This window comes from Homo sapiens, chromosome 11 (assembly GCF_000001405.40).
Source record: "Homo sapiens chromosome 11, GRCh38.p14 Primary Assembly".
Lineage (NCBI taxonomy): Eukaryota > Metazoa > Chordata > Mammalia > Primates > Hominidae > Homo > Homo sapiens.
The window spans coordinates 65,385,660-65,403,425 of NC_000011.10; the positions used below are offsets into that span (position 1 = coordinate 65,385,660).

The 17,766-nt window shown below is 57.9% G+C and overlaps 1 protein-coding gene across 5 annotated transcripts in view, besides 6 other annotated features; it reads left to right on the top strand.

Moving 5' to 3' along the window:
• The window catches only part of FRMD8 (FERM domain containing 8), a 45,500-nt gene that overhangs the window by 17,634 nt on the left and 10,100 nt on the right, over positions 1-17,766 (top strand). Inside the window, exons 1-9 of one of the 5 annotated variants that reach the window (NM_031904.5) lie at positions 978-1,102; positions 1,378-1,462; positions 3,702-3,869; positions 7,914-8,015; positions 8,382-8,440; positions 8,600-8,766; positions 11,140-11,361; positions 14,077-14,200; positions 15,065-15,208. In NM_031904.5, the coding sequence (NP_114110.1) occupies positions 1,378-1,462; positions 3,702-3,869; positions 7,914-8,015; positions 8,382-8,440; positions 8,600-8,766; positions 11,140-11,361; positions 14,077-14,200; positions 15,065-15,208 (1,071 nt within the window). In that variant the 5' untranslated portion in view covers positions 978-1,102. Of the gene's footprint in view, positions 1-977; positions 1,103-1,377; positions 1,463-3,701; positions 3,870-7,913; positions 8,016-8,381; positions 8,441-8,599; positions 8,767-11,139; positions 11,362-14,076; positions 14,201-15,064; positions 15,209-17,766 lie in introns of those variants that run through there. The other 4 variants (XM_047427684.1, NM_001300833.3, NM_001300832.3 and 1 more) reach the window with 4 other exon arrangements.
• Positions 694-1,282: an enhancer, noted in NCBI's record as "H3K27ac-H3K4me1 hESC enhancer chr11:65153824-65154412 (GRCh37/hg19 assembly coordinates)". NCBI's record gives its function as "activates a minimal SCP1, AML or CMV promoter by ChIP-STARR-seq in naive and primed H9 embryonic stem cells {active_cell/tissue: H9 hESC(naive and primed)}" and the evidence as "EXISTENCE:reporter gene assay evidence [ECO:0000049][PMID:30033119]".
• Positions 694-1,364: a biological region, named in NCBI's record as "H3K27ac-H3K4me1 hESC enhancer GRCh37_chr11:65153824-65154412".
• Positions 785-1,364: a silencer, noted in NCBI's record as "silent region_3522". NCBI's record gives its function as "represses an Ori minimal core promoter by ATAC-STARR-seq in GM12878 lymphoblastoid cells {active_cell/tissue: GM12878}" and the evidence as "EXISTENCE:reporter gene assay evidence [ECO:0000049][PMID:35858748]".
• Positions 3,322-3,956: an enhancer, noted in NCBI's record as "H3K4me1 hESC enhancer chr11:65156452-65157086 (GRCh37/hg19 assembly coordinates)". NCBI's record gives its function as "activates a minimal SCP1, AML or CMV promoter by ChIP-STARR-seq in naive H9 embryonic stem cells {active_cell/tissue: H9 hESC(naive)}" and the evidence as "EXISTENCE:reporter gene assay evidence [ECO:0000049][PMID:30033119]".
• Positions 6,893-7,479: an enhancer, noted in NCBI's record as "H3K4me1 hESC enhancer chr11:65160023-65160609 (GRCh37/hg19 assembly coordinates)". NCBI's record gives its function as "activates a minimal SCP1, AML or CMV promoter by ChIP-STARR-seq in primed H9 embryonic stem cells {active_cell/tissue: H9 hESC(primed)}" and the evidence as "EXISTENCE:reporter gene assay evidence [ECO:0000049][PMID:30033119]".
• Positions 14,675-15,560: an enhancer, noted in NCBI's record as "H3K4me1 hESC enhancer chr11:65167805-65168690 (GRCh37/hg19 assembly coordinates)". NCBI's record gives its function as "activates a minimal SCP1, AML or CMV promoter by ChIP-STARR-seq in naive H9 embryonic stem cells {active_cell/tissue: H9 hESC(naive)}" and the evidence as "EXISTENCE:reporter gene assay evidence [ECO:0000049][PMID:30033119]".

Sequence of the window (17,766 nt, forward strand, 5' to 3'; positions counted from 1 at the left end):
GGGGCCCCAAGTCTCCTCCCAGCCTGGGAAAACCTCAAGGTCTCCCAGGCTGTTGTGTAAGATAGTAAGGGCTCATGTCACTGCTCCCTGGAAAAACAGAGTGTCTGTCCTGGTTTTCTGATTTAGACATATATATATAAATTTTTTTTTTTTTTCAGACGGAGTCTCGCCGTCGCCCAGGCTAGAGTGCAGTGGTGTGATCTCGGCTCACTGCAGGCTCCGCCCCCTGGGGTTCACACCATTCTCCTGCCTCAGCCTTCCCGCGTAGCTGGGACTACAGGCGCCCGCCACCTCGCCCGGCTAATTTTTTGTATTTTTAGTAGAGACGGGGTTTCATCGTGTTAGCCAGGATGGTCTGGATCTCCTGACCTCGTGATCCGCCCGCCTCGGCCTCCCAAAGTGCTGGGATTACAGGCGTGAGCCACCGCGCCCGGCCGACATAGACATATATTAATAATCATTTAGAGAGTAGGGATAGTCCTTGGGGGTCATTCAGTTCAACCACCTCATTTTACAGATGAGGAAAACTGAGGCCCAGAGGAGAAGGGACTTGTCCAGGATGAGTCTGGGCCAGGACTCATTCTCCTGACCACTGCCGAGAGCGCCACGGTACAGGCCGCTGCCAGCGCCGCATGGATCCCTGGCACGTGCCAGGAAGTGTCCATTTCACAGGCAGGGAACTAGCCCGAAGACCCAGCGTGGGCAGGCCAACGCCCCTAGCCTGATTCTCGAATCTTCGCCAAACCCTCTTACAGGCCAACAGTCGGGGCCTTTGTGAAGGGAAACTCGCTCTGGGTCACTCTGGTGGTGGCGGGGCTGGTACGTGACGCGGCCACCCCACGGGCGTGATGAGACACGCGAGGCTGGCGTCCGGGCATGCGCGGGCCGCGCGGGGCGGCCCTGGGCTCCCATTGGCTCCCCCGGGTCGAAGGGGGCGGGGCCTCGGGCGCCGCGCTTCCTCCCGCCGTGGCTTCCGCGTCGCTTCCCGGTCAGCTGCGTCCTTAGCGGGAGCCCGAGTGCGGGCGGTGGCGGGCTTGGCGGCGGGGCAGGATTCCAGGCAGGAGCCTTGCCTCTCAGGTGGCGGGCTCTGCGACCCTGCGAGGTGAGAGCACAGCGACGTCTGGCCCGGGCCTCCGTCCCCGGCTGGGCGTGCGCCTTGCCCTGCCTGGGCATCCAGGTCGACCCCCGGTTCTTGACCGTAGCAACCCGCACCCCTCCCACCAGCGCCCGGTCTGCACTCTTGGCCCCTCCAGGCAGCGCCGCTCAACCTTGCGGACCCAGCCTGGGATCCCTTACCGTACTCACCGAGAGCTTGAGGAGACCTCCAGCCCCCCATCCCTGGCTCCCGGTAACTGCTGTTTCTCTTTGCCTTTGCAGATGGACGGGACAGAAGGCAGTGCCGGGCAGCCCGGCCCCGCTGAGCGATCCCACCGAAGCAGCGTGTCCTCCGTGGGAGCCCGAGGTGGGTCCCACCCGCATCTCCTCTTCCACACCCTCCTGGGACCCCAGCCCTGGAGAAGTAGCTCTGGCTTGTCTTCTTTTTCATTAAAGATAATTTATGTATCGACTAAGAAATAATAAGGTACATTCAGATGTGGAAAACTCACAGAAGTCAGAGGCTCTGTCACTAGTTTACTGGCCAGGTTGGGTCCTCGCTCTCATTTGTAAAATGAGCTTGTTTAACATAGCTGTGAAATTCAAATGAGATTATATGAATGAAAAGTGAAGGCTGATGTGGTTCATGCTTGTAATCCCAGAACTTTGGGAGGCCAAGGTGGGCAGACCACATGTGCCCAGGAGTTCGAGACCAGCCTGGGCAACATAGACAAAAAAGAAAGTGACACGTTCACTTTCTTTGTGTCATTTCTTTTTTTCTTTCTTTCCTTTCTTTCTTTCTTTGACAGAGTCTCCCTCTGTCGCCCAGGCTGGAGTGCAGTGGTGCGATCTCAGCTCACTGCAAGCCCCGCCTTCGGGGTTCACGCCATTCTCCTGCCTCAGCCTCCCGAGTAGCTAGGACTACAGGCGCCCGCCACCACGCCTGGCTAATTTTTTGCATTTTTAGTAGAGACGGGGTTTCATCGTGTTAGCCAGGATGGTCTCGATCTCCTGACCTCGTGATCTGCCTGCCTCAGCCTCTCAAAGTGCTGGGATTACAGGCGTGAGCCACCACACCCGGCTGTGTCCTTTCTTTCTCCCAAACAGCCTTTTGAAAGCAGGGATCAGGCTGGGCGTAGTAGCTCACACCTGTAATCCCAGCACTTTGGGAGGCCGAGGCGGGTGGATCACTTGAAGTTGAGAATTCCAAGAGCAGCCTGACCAACATGGAGAAACCCCTGTCTCTACTAAAAATGCAAATTAGCTGGGCGTGGTGGCACATGCCTGTAATCCCAGCTACTCAGGAGGCTGAGGCAGGAGAATGACTTGAACCTGAGAGGCGGAGGTTGCGGTGAGCTGAGCTCGCACCATTGCACTCCAGCCTGGGCAACGAGGGTGAAACTCCGTCTCAAAAAAAAAAAAAAACAGGGATCATATCATGATCTTCATTTGATAGGGAGGAAACTGGGCCCTAGGGAGGTTAAGTCCCAGGCAGGCTGTGGAAGCTCTCCAGGTGATTACATACTGCAGCTTCTGGTGCCTCAGTTCTTGCCTGAGAAGTAGATCTGAACCTGAGCCTCCTCGAAGTGATTTTGTGATCTCTGAGAGTAGCTGCTGGAGCATAACAGACTGGGGGTCCGAGGAGCACCTTCTCTTGTGTAGATGAGAAACCGTGCCCTTCCCTTCCACACACTCTTGGAGGGAGGAGTATTAGCTCTACTTTTACAGATGAGGCAACTGACAACTTAAATTGACTCCCTGAAGTTGGCCAGCGACCAGGCAAGGATGGGAACCCGAGTATGTCGGCCCCAAACTCCAGTGTTCCTTCACCATGCCTGCAGTCTCAGGGATGGGGATTTGAATCTGGTTGCTCTTCCAGGTGTCTCCATTTGGCTCTGGAACCCACAAGTTGTCACAAGGGAACTCTCAGCTATTTGGGCTGTTCTTCCCTAGCCTGCTTCGTATTGACTCCTGAGGCTTAAAGAGTCCTCAGACTTAAAGAGTCCCAAGGAAGCTGAGACCTGGAACTTGCTTTAACCTGGGTGACCTAAAGAATTATCTCTTCGCATCTTAGCCTCAGTCAGAGAGAGACTTGCCTAAGGACAGCAGCGGGTTACCAGCTCTCGCTCCTGCCAGCCAGCCAGACTAACTGCCATAGCCTCAGGATGGTTTCAGCCTCTCTATGCTGTGGTTTCAGCCTCTCTGTGCTGTAGTTTCACATCTGTGGCATGTTCTTGTTCAGGGCAGAAGAACAGTTGAATCCTTGGGGCAGCTATGGTGGTGAGGGGCAGGTTTGCAATGGCCAGGCTTAATTTGAATCTTGGGGGATTGCGGTGGGGCTGGTCTCTGGGCAGGAGTTACTGGGTTTCTGGGTGGTTTAAGGGTGTCAAGGAAGCACTAATAGATAGCATTCGTGATAGGGTCTTTTGGGGCTGCTGGGGCTCTGCCTCTGGCGAGGACTCTGTCTCAGGAGCGTAGCCCTGGTCACCCCTGAGGGGTGTAGGGTGGGGGCTCCAGCCCCAGTGGGTGGTAGAGGGTGCCTGGTTGGCCTGGCCTGGCTGTGCCAGGCAGAGGCCTCAGCTGAGCCTGCCTGGTCTCCATCACAGCGGCTGACGTGCTGGTATACCTAGCGGATGACACGGTGGTGCCCCTGGCTGTGGAGAACCTGCCCTCGCTCAGTGCCCATGAGCTGCACCGCGCTGTCCGCGAGGTCCTGCAGCTTCCAGACATCGCCCTGGATGTCTTCGCGCTCTGGCTGGTCTCCCCTCTGCTGGGTAAGGCTTGGCAGTGAGGAGCCCAGGCTGGAGGGTTGGAAGGGCACTGACCAGTACAGGAGGGAGGGGGCAGTGTTTGGAGCCGCTGGGGAGCCGCTGGCCACTGCCCATGGGGAAAGGTGGGACTTGGGTTTATCCTGAGCTGTCCACCTGTCTGAGCACCTAGAGCCCTGAGAAGGCCCCCGCTCCTGGCCCTGCTGTCTGTCTTTCTGCTGGTGGTGGAGGAGTGGACACGCCTGCCCCCCAGGTCGTGCTGGGACTGGGTGGTCCAGGAACAGTACCGCAGGAGGGAGGGAGGAAGGGGGCCTTGTCTGCCGAGCATAACCTTTGCCACAACCTGGGTGGTGTTTGGGAACCATGATTTCACCTTGTCCTCAGGCCTAGGCCAGTCTTGCAGATGGAAGTTGTAGTTAGGGTGGCGAGACCACTGTGTGGCAGGAGCAAGACAGACCCAGGCCTGAGTGGCTTCCCGGTCGGCCTCTTTGAACTGTTCCTGTTCCTTGGGGACAGGGAGGAGAAGGGACATGGCTCAGGAAGTAGGCCCCTCTGACCCTGAGGCTCTTAGTGAGGGTGGGAAGAGTAGAGACTTGACTTCTCTGGGAGGGGGGTCTTCAGCCTCCAGCCCTGCCTGGCTGGCCTCGTGACCACCCACATCCTGCCCTTTCAAGCTGAAATTGCAAGATGGAGGGACTTAAGGGCGGTGGCTCTCTAGACACTCAGCCCAGGGTCCCTCAGTGAACAGGGTCTCTGAGCCTGCTGGTTCGCACAGGAGGGGGCCAAGGGAGAGGCTGCCCCATGTTGTTTAGTAAATCGGTGCCATAGGCCGGGCGAGTTTTCTTAGCTTACACATTCCCTTCGTTATAGAGGAATGCAGGCAAGAAGAGGGTGACCAGTCCCATTGAGGGAGTGCGTAGGACAGCCTGGTTTAGGTCCAAGGGGCCCCCAGCAGTTATGTCTTCTCCTGAGGCTGCTGGTTGGGGGAGAGGGAACATTTGGCACCCCTGCTCCCCACCCTCATCCTTCTCTCCACCCCCTCCCCCCTGCCAGTAGGAGCTTCCTGCTCAGCTGCTGCTGGGAGGTGCCCGCCCACCCTCTTCCTGCTGCCCCGGCTCCTCGGCCACCTCATGCCCAGCCTGGTCACCTCTCTTTCACCTCCGGGCCTCGAGTCAGGACTGTGGGCCCCTTGGTTTGTGTCTGAAAGCTGGGGGTACAGTTCTGCATGGGTTGGCCCCTGCCTTACCTCGGGAAGCTCCCAGAGCCTGCTGGGCAGCCTGCCTCCTCCTCTCACCTCCTCCGTCTCCACTCCCTCCTCACCACATTCCGGCTCTCCCACGGCCGGAGGCCGTGAATGGGCTGCTTTGTTGCCCGGCCCACACAGGAGGATGGTGGCAGAAGACCCCGGCACAAAGTCAGCACCCACTCTGTTCCCAGGCTGGGTTCAGGGAGGCTGAAAAGCCACTTCAGCTGTGACTTGGGCCCCCCCAGAACCCTTTTCCCCCGGCCCCTGCACCCCTGATGGGGTGAACCGGTGACAGATGCCCCAGGGCCGTGAGTGCCCTGCAAGGGCAGGGAGGGGCGCTGTCTTCTGGAGCTGCCCTTCATGCCGGATGTTTTGGCAGGGCTTAGCCTTCTCAATGTCGTTGTCACTCTGCGTGGAACAGGGCTCCAGGGCCCTTCCGTCCCATTTGGATAGCAGCCTCCAGGCAGGAAGGCCCCATCTGGAAGTGTCTGGGACTGCGGGAGTTCTGAAGACAGGAAGGAGTCTTTTGAGCTGCTGGGGCTTGGGGTTAAGGCTGGTCAGGGCTGGGCTGTAGGCAGCAGGAAGGACATCCTTGTCTCCAGGGTGTCCCTAGGCCCCATCTTGTCAGTTACTGTGCTTGTTCCACAAGGACGTGCAAAGCCTCTCTCAGGCCACGTGGTATTCTAGATGCTGGGAATACAGGAGGGAAGACCCTGGTGGAACTTAATTTAACTTAATTTTATTTATTTATTTTTTTTTTGAGACAGAGTCTCACTCTGTTGCCCAGGTTGGAGTGCAGTGGTGCAATCCCAGCTCACTGCAACCTCCGCCTCCTGGGTTCAAGCGATTCTTCTGCCTCAGCCTCCCGAGTAGCTGGGATTACAAGCAAGCGACACCACGCCTGGCTAATTTTTGTATTTTTAGTAGAGACGGGGTTTTCCCACGTTGAGCAGGCTGGTCTCGAACTTCTGACCTCAAGTGATCCACCCGCCTCAGCCTCCCAAAGTGCTGGGATTACAGACATGAACCATCACGCCCGGCCACCATTGGAATTTTAGAGCCTAAAGGATGGTAAAGGGGGGTTTAGGAAGCAGAGCTCTGTTCCTGGTTTAGCCAGTAGCCCCATGTGGCCTCAGGCACTGTGCCTTCCCCAGCTTCAGTTTCCCTGCTGTAAAGTGGGTGATCTCCATGTCCTCCAGCCCTTTGAGTTCCCAGACAGAGAGAGCATGAGGACCCCATGAGGGGCTCAGTGGCCAAGTGAGGGGAGTTAATGGAGCCCTTTCTGGAGGGAGTGGGGAGGCAACTATTGGGGGTAAATGGTGTTTCCCTACTGGAGGTGGTGACAGATGGGTGGGGCCCAGGGTCTAGGTTGTAAAGGAGGGCTGTGGGGCCTCTGGGAAATCTGGACCAGAAATGTTGGGACGAGAAAGGGCTGCAGAGGCTGGATGCAGGGGTGGGTGGAAGGGCTGTGGGCAAGGGGGCCCGTGTGGAGCTGTGGCTGCTCTTCCAGGTGGAAGGCCCAGATGGCCCAAAGAGCAGAGACAAGGACCCCTGGCCTCAGGCCAGCAGGAGGGGCGATTGGCCATCAGTGGGGACTGCCTAAGGGTAGAGCAGGGAGATGTGGATCAGGCAGCGCTCGGGAAGCTTGGAGCAAGCGCTGGCTCCTGCACCCCGGTGACGGACATCCCCATACATCTCTGGATGAACTTGGAAGTGGCCTCACACCTCTCAAAGGCAGAGAACCCGGTGGCCACTGTTTTTTGGTGGGTGCTGGTGTGTGAGCTGAAAGGCTTTGTCCCTCCTGGCCTGAGGCATTGAGTCCTGGGTCCAGAGCAGTGGTGGCATGGGGCAGCCTGGAGTTTGAGGGGCTGGACTGCTGCACTTGGTCATTCTGCCAACCCCTGGCGAGGTCACTGTGCCCCAGGGATACGGCGGTGGACAATTCTGCAGCCCCTGTGGGTGGCAGCAGCGAGGAATGTCAGGTAGTGATCAGCCTGTGAAGGCAAACAGATGTGGCACCATTGGGGTGATGGAAAATTTTGAGGAGGGGCTGCCTTAATTAGGGGTCCAGGGAAGGTGGCCCTTGAACTTAGACCTGAATCAGCCAGCCACGGGAGGATCTGGGGCAAAGGAGTCCAGGAAAAGAAGAACATCAAGCGCAGAGGCCCTGGCACAAGCAAGCTGGGGATGATTTAAGGAGATTTAAGAAGGCCAAGGTGGCAGGAGCAGAGTGGGAGAGGCAGTGAGAGAGGAGATAAGGTGGGAGGGCCAGGCAGGAGCTGGGTTGCGTGTGGGCCACGGAGGTGCAGAGCTTGCAGGATGGAAGGTCAGCTGGAGCTCCTCAGAGGTGTCAGAGGTGGGCAGTGATGACGGGGAGGCCCAGGCTCTGCCAGTGGGGGGGCAAGGCAGCCCCTTGGGCCTCTGGGCCCCAGTTGTCAATTTCCAGTTCTGCTTCCTGATGGCACTGAGGGTTCCTTTGTGCCCCAGCACCTTCCATTGGCCAGTCTCCAGTTTCAGCTTGCCGTGGGGCTGCAGTGAACACTTAGTGGCTGGCTCTGCCTGGAGCCAGACCCCCGTCGCTTGCTGTGTGACTGTGGACAAGGAACTTGGCCTCTCTGAGGCTCATTTGCTCTATGGGTGAAATGGGGGATAGGGTTATTGCAGAGTAAATGGCTCTGGACCCTTGGCACCTGCTCAGTTACTATTGGTTGCGACTGTCGTCATGCTGTGCGGTGTGATAGGTGGAAGGGCAGCCACTGGACTGGCCGGAGGCTGCATGGGCCACTCCCCATCTCGTCCTGCAGAGGTGCAGCTGAAACCCAAGCACCAGCCCTACAAGCTGGGACGCCAGTGGCCGGAGCTGCTGCTGCGCTTCACCAGTGCCCCAGACGATGACGTGGCCATGGGTCAGTGCTGCTGCCTGTCTGTCCTTGCCTCGGGACCACCTGAGTCTGCATCTCTGGCTCCCAGCCCAGCCAGGGCCCTGCCAGCAAGGAGCTGCCCTGGCTGAGGGGCAGGGCCTGCATCTCCCCCAGGCTCCGTCAGCCACCCCTGGCAGGGGAGGAAGGGGTCCCTGAGTGAAGCCCCATTGGGGGATGGGCTGGGAGCCACCGGGGCACGTTGGGATGAGCTGCACACTCCACCCTCTGCACGGCCCTCCGGTTTTCTCAGCCCTGGTGGGTGAGGTTGGTGGCCAGGGCCTGGGCCAATCGGGAGAGGGGAGGGCTAAGCAGAGTGGGGATGCCCGGCAGTGACCCAGCCTCTCTCCCCAGATGAGCCTTTCCTGCAGTTCCGAAGGAACGTGTTCTTCCCAAAGCGGCGGGAGCTCCAGGTGAGGCAGGAGCCCTGGTGGCCCCACCAGGCCTGGCCCCTTGTGCCCAGCCTCCCTGTCCCTAGACCCCTGGACATTCGCACCTTGCCCCAGCCCAACTGAGCAGCTCTCCCTGCCCCAGCCCAGCTGAGCGGCTGTCCCTGCCACACCCCCCTGCAGATCCATGACGAGGAGGTCCTGCGGCTGCTCTATGAGGAGGCCAAGGGCAACGTGCTGGCTGCACGGTACCCGTGCGACGTGGAGGACTGCGAGGCTCTGGGCGCCCTGGTGTGCCGCGTGCAGCTTGGGCCCTACCAGCCCGGCCGGCCGGCAGCCTGCGACCTGAGGTGAGGGCCTGTGTGACTTGAGGCGGGGGCGCTGGGTGGGGGAGTTTGTCCTTGGAATGGAACTTACAAGCAGTCTTCAGTCTCGCAAGGTGGGGGCAGGGTCCTGGAGTCAGGAGGCCTCAGCCCCGCAGGCTCACTCTGGCCCTAGGCAGTTGTTCCGCCCCTCAGCCTCCTTTTCCTCACCTGTCCTGGGCTGGAGCCTCAGGTGAAGTGAAGTCTGGGAGAAGAATCTGGAGCCCTGCCTCCTGCCGGCCAGGGTCAGAGGAGCTGGGCTTTTGGAGTCACAGCCAGGGACCACCCAGATACTGACCCTTTGTCACCAGTAACAGGCCAGCTTAGTTCCAGACTTCTGGGGTGTTCCCCAGGCGGTCGGCAAGCTGGCTGTCCACCTCCCAGCCCTCTCCAGGAGCCGAGTTCTCTGCTGTGTAAATTAGCAGGGCCTTGGGTGGCGAGGATTGAGTCTGCCCTGCCAAAGCCCAGGCCGGTCTCTGGTCTCCATGGAGGATTATCCCGAGGTTTAGAAATAATTCCAGTGAAGGGGCCGGACGCGGTGGCCCAGGCCTGTAATCCCAACACTTTGGGAGGTCAAGGCAGGCAAATCGCTTAAGGTCAGGAGTATGAGACCAGCCTGGCCAACATGGTGAAACCCCATCTCTACTAAAAACACAATAAGTAGCCAGGTGTGGTGGCACACACCTGTAATCCCAGCCGTTTGGGAGGCTGAGGCAGGAGAATCACTTGAACCTGGGAGGTGGAGGTTGCAGTGAGCCAAGGGCATGTCACTGCACTCCAGTCTGGGTGACAGAGTGAGACTCTGTCTTAAAAAAAAAAAAAATGCCGGGTGCGGTGGCTCACGCCTGTAATCCCAACACTTTGGGAGGCCGAGGCGGGCAGATCACCTGAGGTCAGGAGTTCAAGACCAGCCTCAACGTGGAGAAACCCCGTCTCTACTAAAAATACAAAATTATCTGGGCAAGGTGGTGCATGCCTGTAATCCCAGCTACTCGGGAGGCTGAGGCAGGAGAATTGCTTGAACTTGGCAGATGGAGGTTGCAGTGAGCCGAGATCAAGCCATTGCACTCTAGCCTGGGCAACAAGAGCGAAACTCCGTCTCAAAAAAGAAAAAAAAGGACTGAGCGCTCCAACTGCAGCTTATCTGATGGCCGGTCCACAGCCCACAGAGTACCCGCTGCCTGAGGCGGGGAACCAACTGTGGGTATGCCAGGGCCTCTCCTCCTTCATGTGGGGCGGGGGAGATGCCCTTTCTTTTGTGAGCCTGTGCTAGTTGTAGGTTGGCGTTTTCACGTTTTTATCTGGCAGAACAAAGCATTGAGAGCATTAAAACCCCTGCACCAGTTTTGGTTATAAAAGTTCCACCAGTTCAGAAATCCCAACGTTCCTGACTTGGTGACACAGATGTTGCTCTGAAACCCTCCTGCTGCAGTCTGATTCTAGGCAGGTGGGGGCTCTTTGTTCGGCCTCCAGACCTTCCCTCAGCCTCTCACCTCTGCTGTGAGCTGCAGACCTGGGCCCATCTCCTGGGCCTCCTTCACTCGCCTGGCTGCCCTGTGTGTCTGTGTGCCCTCGCAGGTGGGGGTCAGGGACCTCTGCAGTGCCGGGCACACTGCGGGTGCTCAGGGTGGTGGGTTCCTTCCCTTCTGGGGGTGAAGAGGGGCCTGGTGACTCCTCGTGTCTTTCCCTTCGGCTCCTATGAGTTTCCTGGGTGGACACGTGGTAACCAACCAGGCAGGAGGCAGGAAGGGTTGGGTGACAGGACCAGGCCCCATGGGGGCCCTTGGTGCACATGGGGCTGCAGTGCAGAGGCTGCCGGCTCAGGCAGGACTGGTGGGAAGTGCAGGAAGGTGGGGCCCGGGTTCCTGTTCCTGGATGGAGATGCAGGCATCTGGAGCCGCAGGATGAGCCTTTGGCTTCAGACGGTGACCCCGGGTCAGACGGGCAGAGGGACAGCCCCAGGTGGGCCTCATAGGGAGCCCCATCACAATCCTTGGCCTGCACCTGGAGAGCTTGTCAAGTTTTAGGGCCGGGGGAGCTCACCTGGGACAGGTGGGGGTGTCACCATCCCCACTCTGCAAAGGAAGCAGGCGCAGGACAGGAGGTGCCTCTCACCAGCTGTACAGCTGCTCTCGGCAGAAGCAGACAGGCTGGCCCTGGAGTCTGCCCTTCGGAGGGGGGCCGAGAACTGAACCCCCTCTGTCTGGTGCCTGGGTCTCCCCTTGTGGGCTCCTTACCCAGCCTCTGACTTGGAAGTAGATGTGTGTCTGCTTCCTCCAGGCAGCCTTGCTTCCCTCGCCCTCCCCCGTGAGCCTGGCACCTCTGGTTGGGCCGCTAGCACCTGTCTTCCTTCCTCCACAGGGAGAAGCTGGACTCCTTCCTCCCTGCCCACCTCTGTAAGCGGGGCCAGAGTCTCTTTGCTGCCCTCCGGGGCCGTGGGGCCAGGGCCGGGCCGGGCGAGCAGGGCCTGCTGAACGCCTACCGCCAGGTGCAGGAGGTCAGCAGCGACGGCGGGTGCGAGGCCGCCCTGGGCACCCACTACCGCGCCTATCTCCTCAAGTGCCACGAGCTGCCGTTTTATGGGTAAGAGCCACAGCCCCGCGGTCCCCCACCCCCTCCGCAGGCTGTTCTTGGGCTTTGCTAGCACAGCTGCCAGTGAGCCCACCTCTGCTCCAGCTGAGCTGTGTCCCCATGAAGTGGTGTCTTGTCACGAGCACCTCAGGCCCCACCGTTCCAAGCTGGGCACCTGTCCTCCCCTTCCTCCTGTCAGGGGCTGGGACACCTTGGATGGGTCCTCTCCTTCTACCTGGCACAGTCACCTCGTCACTGGCCCGGCCGACCTCGCCTTCAGCCAGCTGTCTCTGTCACGCAATTGTTGTCTAACAAACAGCTCTGTGCACCTACTGCACGCACGCTCCCTGGGCACTGGAGGTCCCCCTGAGCCAGAGACACCGTGCCCCTGCCTGATGAAGCTGATGTTCTAGTGGAGAGAGACGAGAACACAGAGGTTGAGGAGAGCCTGTCATTGGGCACAGGCGGCAGCCAGGAGACCAGAGGATGGGGTGTGGCTTGGGCCTTGTGGTCAGAACAGGTGAGATGGTCAGATGCAGGACGTTCTGAGGGCAGAGTGACAGGATTTGCCAGATGGATGTGCAGTGGATGAAGCGAAGGAGAGGAGGCAGAGAGGACTGGCCTAAGCCCCTGGCAGATGGCGTTGTCCTCCGCTGAGCTGGGGGCGGCACTGTGGAGTGGTCAGGGAAAGTTTAGGAATTTGGTTTTTTGTTTTTGTTTTGAGACAGGGTCTTGCTCTGTCACTCAGGCTGGAGTGCAGTGGCACAATCGTGGCTCACTGCAGGCTCGACCTCCTGGGCTCAAGCAAGCCTCCTGAGTCGCTGGGACCACAGGTGTGCAGCACCATGCCCGGGTAATTTTTCTTTCTTTTTTTTTTTTTTTTTTGAGATGGAGTATCGCTCTTGTTGCCAGGCTGGAGTGCAATGCCATGATCTCGGCTCACTGCAACCTCTGCCTCCCAGGTTCAAGCGATTTTCCTGCCTCAGCCTCCCAAGTAGCTGGGACTACAGGTCTGCACCACTATGCACGGCTAATTTTTGTATTTTTAGTAGAGATAGGGTTTCACCATGTTGGCCAGGCTGATCTTGAACTCCTCACCTCAGGTGATCCGCCTGCCTCAGCCTCCCAAAGTGCTGGGAGCCACCACGCCTGGCCTAATTTTTGTATTTTTTGTAGAGACGGGGTTTTGCCTGTTGGCCAGGCTGGTCTGGAACCCTGGGGTCAAGTGATGCTCCCGCCTCAGCCTCCCACAGCACTGGGATCATACGCATGAGCCACCGTGCCTGGCTGGGAGCTTGCTTTGGACATGTTGATTTTGAGATACTTGTTAGACGCCCCACTGGCGACTTCGAGTGGGCATCTGGTGTCTAGTGCAGTCTGAACTGGAGCTCGTATTTGGCGAATCCTATGCATATGGATGGCACCTGAAGCCTGGAGAGATGCTGGGAGGCAAGTGTGGGCCAGGTGAGAAGGGGCCCTGGGCCCCCCAGCAAGGCAGGAGGGCTCTACCCGCAGCAGCTCCTAGCGCATGCCCCGCTTGTCCTCCTGGCAGCTGGCGATGGATGTGGGCTCCAGCCTGGTGGGCGAGCGTGAGCAGGGATGGAGACAGTGAGTGTGACCAGCTGTCACAACTCTGCTGTAAAATGGGGTCAAGCAACGGGTCTTGTAGTGGTTTTGAGGGGGAGGTGACAGCCCATGTGTGCTGACCGGCAGGTGGCCCTCTCCTGGCTGCTTTGGTTTCCTCAGTGAAATCGGAGGGCTGGCCATCAGCTGAGCTTGGGGGACAGAAGTCTTCCGGAGGAGGCTGGAGCAGGACGGCCCCAGGAATTCAAGGTGGCCCATGCTGGTCTCCAGCCCCATCCCATCGCGTGGAGAGAGCGGGGTTTAACTTGGGCTCTGGCTCAGTGGGTGGTGAGGGCAAGGGTGAGCCTGAGGGACAGGAGAAGGCAAGGCTGCAGGAGGGACAGGTGGCAGCTCTTCTCAATGTTTTTTTTTTTTTTTTTTTTTGAGATGGAGTCTCGCTCTGTTGCCCAGGCTGGAGTGCAGTGGCACGATCTTGGCTCACTGCGAGCTCCGCCTCCCAGGTTCACGCCATTTTCCTGCCTCAGCCTCCGGAGTAGCTGGGATTACAGGTGCCCACCACCATGCCCGGCTAATTTTTTTTGTATTTTTAGTAGAGATGGGGTTTCACCCTGTTAGCCAGGATGGTCTCAATCTCCTGACCTCATGACCCGCCTGCCTCGGCCTCCCAAAGTGCTGAGATCACAGGCATGAGCCACCGCGCCCAGCCTCTTCTCAGTTTTGAGCCCTGGAGCCACTCCCCTCACCTCCTCGTGCTTCCCAGCAGGTCCCTGCTGCTGAAAGGTCTCCGCCTGGACAGTGGTCAGCAGGCTCTCCTGGCCACCTCCAGCAGCCCTGGCCCCCAGACCAAGTGCCAAACCCACGACTGGCTTTGCTCCACACCTGGGGCCACGCGCTTCCCTCCGCCTGCAGTGCCCACCCTTCTCTGTGCCATCAGGCCCTTCTCCCTCCGGTCGCACACTGCCAGCTCAGATGCTGCCACCCCTACGAAGCCTCCCCTTCATCCCACCTCTGTTTCTCCCTTCCCTGGGGCGGGTTTCAGTCACCCAAACAGCAGAAGTTCCTCAGAGCCCAGGTTGGGGCCTCGAGCAGCCTCCCTCAGCATTTCTGGTGCTGGCCGGAGGCTGACCCCAGTCCCCTCCCCAGGTGTGCCTTCTTCCACGGTGAGGTTGACAAGCCGGCCCAAGGCTTTTTGCACCGGGGTGGGCGCAAGCCAGTTTCTGTGGCCATCAGTCTGGAAGGCGTGCACGTCATCGATAGCAGAGAGAAGGTACTGCCCCCAGCTCCTCCAGGGTGGAGAGGATGGGAGGGGGCTCCTGACTCAGGTCTTCCTGGTTCCTCTGGGCCTGTGGGGGCCTGGGGGCAAGGTGGATGGACTGTCTGGGAGGGACCCTGCCTCCGTTGGATGTCCTCGTAGCCCCTGAGGGTGATCCTGGGTCCTCTTGCCCAACATGCTAGGCTGTGGGGTGGCCGGGGCAGGGGAGGCCGCAGCTGGGACTTCACTGCTGAGTGGAGGGAGGGCAGCAGGGCCCGCTGCTCTGCCTGGCTGATGGCTGGAGAACAGCCTGATGCTCCAGAAGACCCCGCGACGGGAGCCCTCTTGGGCTGACCGTGTCCTCTTCTTTCTGCGTTTGGTGGCCAGCCCTGGGTAGAGAGCCGCGTCAGCAGCCAGCCCTGTGGGGCAGATTACCTGTCCCTGGACAGAAATTTGCTCCTAAGCCAGCAGAAGAGTTTTGGCTGGCTTCTGGTTGTCCCGGAAGAAGGACCCCAGCCCCTGCTGCCATCTGTGTCCTGGGAGGCAGGGCCCAGCTCAGCCTCATGCTAGATGCCACGCCCGACCTCATAGAAGAGACTCCGCTTCCCCACCTGCCTCCTCCCCCACGTGCCTCCCCCGCTGTCAGGGGCTTGGCCTGCTGGTGGGACTGTTGTGGGAGAGGGGATCTCAGCTTCCCTGGACCACAGCCCCTGGCAGGCTCTGATGAAAGCTGAGGCTCTCTCCTTACAGAAACACATGAACAAATGTAGACTCAGCCTTGGAGAGGCACACACCCTGGCCAGGTGTCTGAGTGGGATGGGGTGGGGAGCAGACCTCTGCCCAGGGGTCAAGCCTGGCTCTGTGTCTCCTGCTGGCCAGCATGTCCTGCTGGGCCTGCGCTTCCAGGAGCTGTCGTGGGACCACACCTCCCCCGAGGAGGAGGAGCCCATCTTGTGGCTGGAGTTCGACGGGGACAGCGAGGGCACACCTGTCAACAAGCTCCTCAAGATCTACTCCAAGCAGGTAGCGCGGGTGGTGCCTGCACACGGGTGGGGAGGCTGGGCCCAGGTGCCCTGGGTCCCAGACAATTAGAGGCACCAGGCTGGCGGGCAAGGAGGTGAGAAGCTGCCTTGGGCCTGAGGATGAAAGCGGCCTGGGCACAAGGGGTGCCTTGAGTCCTGCTGACCCAGAGCTGCCCTGGGAGGTCAGGAGGCCTGGTCTGCAGACTCCACGCCGGTGGTGGTGGCAGCTGTGGGGTTCGGGCAGCTGTTTGTTGAGGGCTTGCTGAGTGCTTTGAGACCAGCCTGCACCCTCCCCTCCTGTCCCCAAGACCAGTGCTGTTGTGACCCTATTCACAGTCACCTGCGGTGGGCGTGGAAACGTTGGGCCTCTCCAAGCCTGTGTTTGATTTTCCCCTTCATTCGTCGTGTTTTACTCAGCACCGAGCACCTCTTCTACCCCAGCCTCCCTCCCCAGCCTCCCTCCCCAGCCTCCCTCCCCTGCCTCCCTCCCCTGCCTCCCTCCCCTGCTTCCCTCCCCAGCCTCCCTCCCCTGCCCCTCCCTCTCCCACTTGGGTCACATCAGACGCCCCTCCCTCCCACAGGGCCCTTTCAGGACTGTTCCCACCCCTTCCTCCTTTCATCTCGGGTCTCTCTGGATCCTTCATTCCACACCTCTCCGGCTTCCTTTTGGTGCCCTTCACCCCTCCCTTGGCAGCCAGACCCCACCCCTGCGCCTCCCATGCTGGGGGCTGCTTCTAGCCCCATCGGCCTCTGCTTTGCCACAGGAGGGCCCCCTCCCCCTTCTCAGCTTAACTACATGCTCCTGGAAGCTTCTTTCCGCCCCCACCAGCCACCTCCTCCCCCAGCTTCCCCTGCTGCTCCCCATTTTCCTGGCCCCCCTCGAGGGCACTCCTCTCCCTGCCTCATGGCTTTGAACTCCAAGATATTCTCACCTTTATGTTCAAAGTTCACAATTTTCTTTTTTTTTTTTTTTTTTTGAGACGGAGACTGGTTTATGCTTTTTGTTTCCTAAGAAATTTTGCCTAACCCAAGACCACAAAGATTTTCTCATGTTTTCTTGTAGAAGTTGTATAAATTTAAGCCTCCCAGCCATCCCAAAGTCAATATTTTACATCAGGTGTGATATACAGGTCAATGTTCATGTTCGTGTTTACAGATTCTCAATTGTTTCGGTGTCGTTTGTTGAAAAGACATTGAATTGGCCGGGCATGGTGGATCACGCCTGTAATCCCAGCACTTTGGGAAGCCAAGGTGGGCGGATCTCTTTAGGCTCAGAGCTCAAGACCAGCCTGGCCAACAAGGTGAAACCCCCATCTCTACTAAAAATACAAAAAATTGGCCGGGTGTGGTGGCACACGCCCGTAATCCCAGCTACTACTTGGGAGACTGAGGCACGAGAATCACTTGAACTGGGGAGGCAGAGATTGTGGTAAGCCGAGATGGTGCCACTGCACTCCAGCCTAGGCAACAGAGTGAGACTCTGTCTCAAAAAAAAAAAAAAGAAAGACATTGAATTGCCCTGACATCTTTGTTGAAAATCAATTGGCTGTACATGTGTGGGTCTGTTTCTGGATTCCCTCTTCTAAACCACTGATATATGTGTGTCTTTCACTGATAATCACACTATATATTGATTTTTGAACCTTTATAATAAGTCTTGAAATCAGGTAGTCTGATAACCAGAACTTTGTTCTTTTTAAAATGGTTTCCATAGAAGTTTTAGAATCAGCTTGTTGATTTGTAGCATGCTCCGCTATCCACCCCCCAAAAAAAGGCTACCTAGGATTTTTATTGAGATCGCATTGATTACTTCGGAGGTCATTGACCTCTTAAGTCTTCCAGTCCATTTATTTCTGTATCTCCATTTATTTGTCTCTGATTTCTTTCATTAACATTTTATAGTTTTCAGCATACAAAACTTCTGCATCTTTTGTTAGATTTATCCATTTCTTTTTTTTTTTCTTTTGGTGCTACTGTAAATGGCACTGTTTTTAATTTCAATTTCCAATTGATCATTTCCTTATATAGAAATATAATTGTTTTTGTTTTTTTTGAAACACTCTTGCTCTGTCACCGAGGCTGGGGTGCAGTGGCGCAATCATAGCTCACTGCATCCTTGACCTCTGGGCTCAAGCTATCATCCCAAGCCACAGGTGTGCACCACCATGCCAGGCTAACTTTATTTTATATTTGTAGAGACAAGGTCTCACTATGTTGCCCAGGCTAATCTTGAACTCCTGGGCTCAAGTGATTCTCCCACCTTGGCCTCCCAAAGTGCTGGGATTACAGGCATGAGCCCCTGTGTCTGCCTTTTTTCTTTTTTTCTTTTTTTTTGAGATGGAGTCTCACTCTGTCGCCCAGGCTGGAGTGCAATGGCGCGATTTCAGCTCACTGCAACCTCCGCCTCCTAGGTTCAAGCGATTCTCTCACCTCAGCCTCCTGAGTAGCTGGGATTACAGGAGCCTGCCATCACACCCAGCTAATTTTTGTATTTTTAGTAGAGATGGGTTTTCACCATGTTGGCCAGGCTGGTCTCAAACTCCTGACCTCAGGTGATCC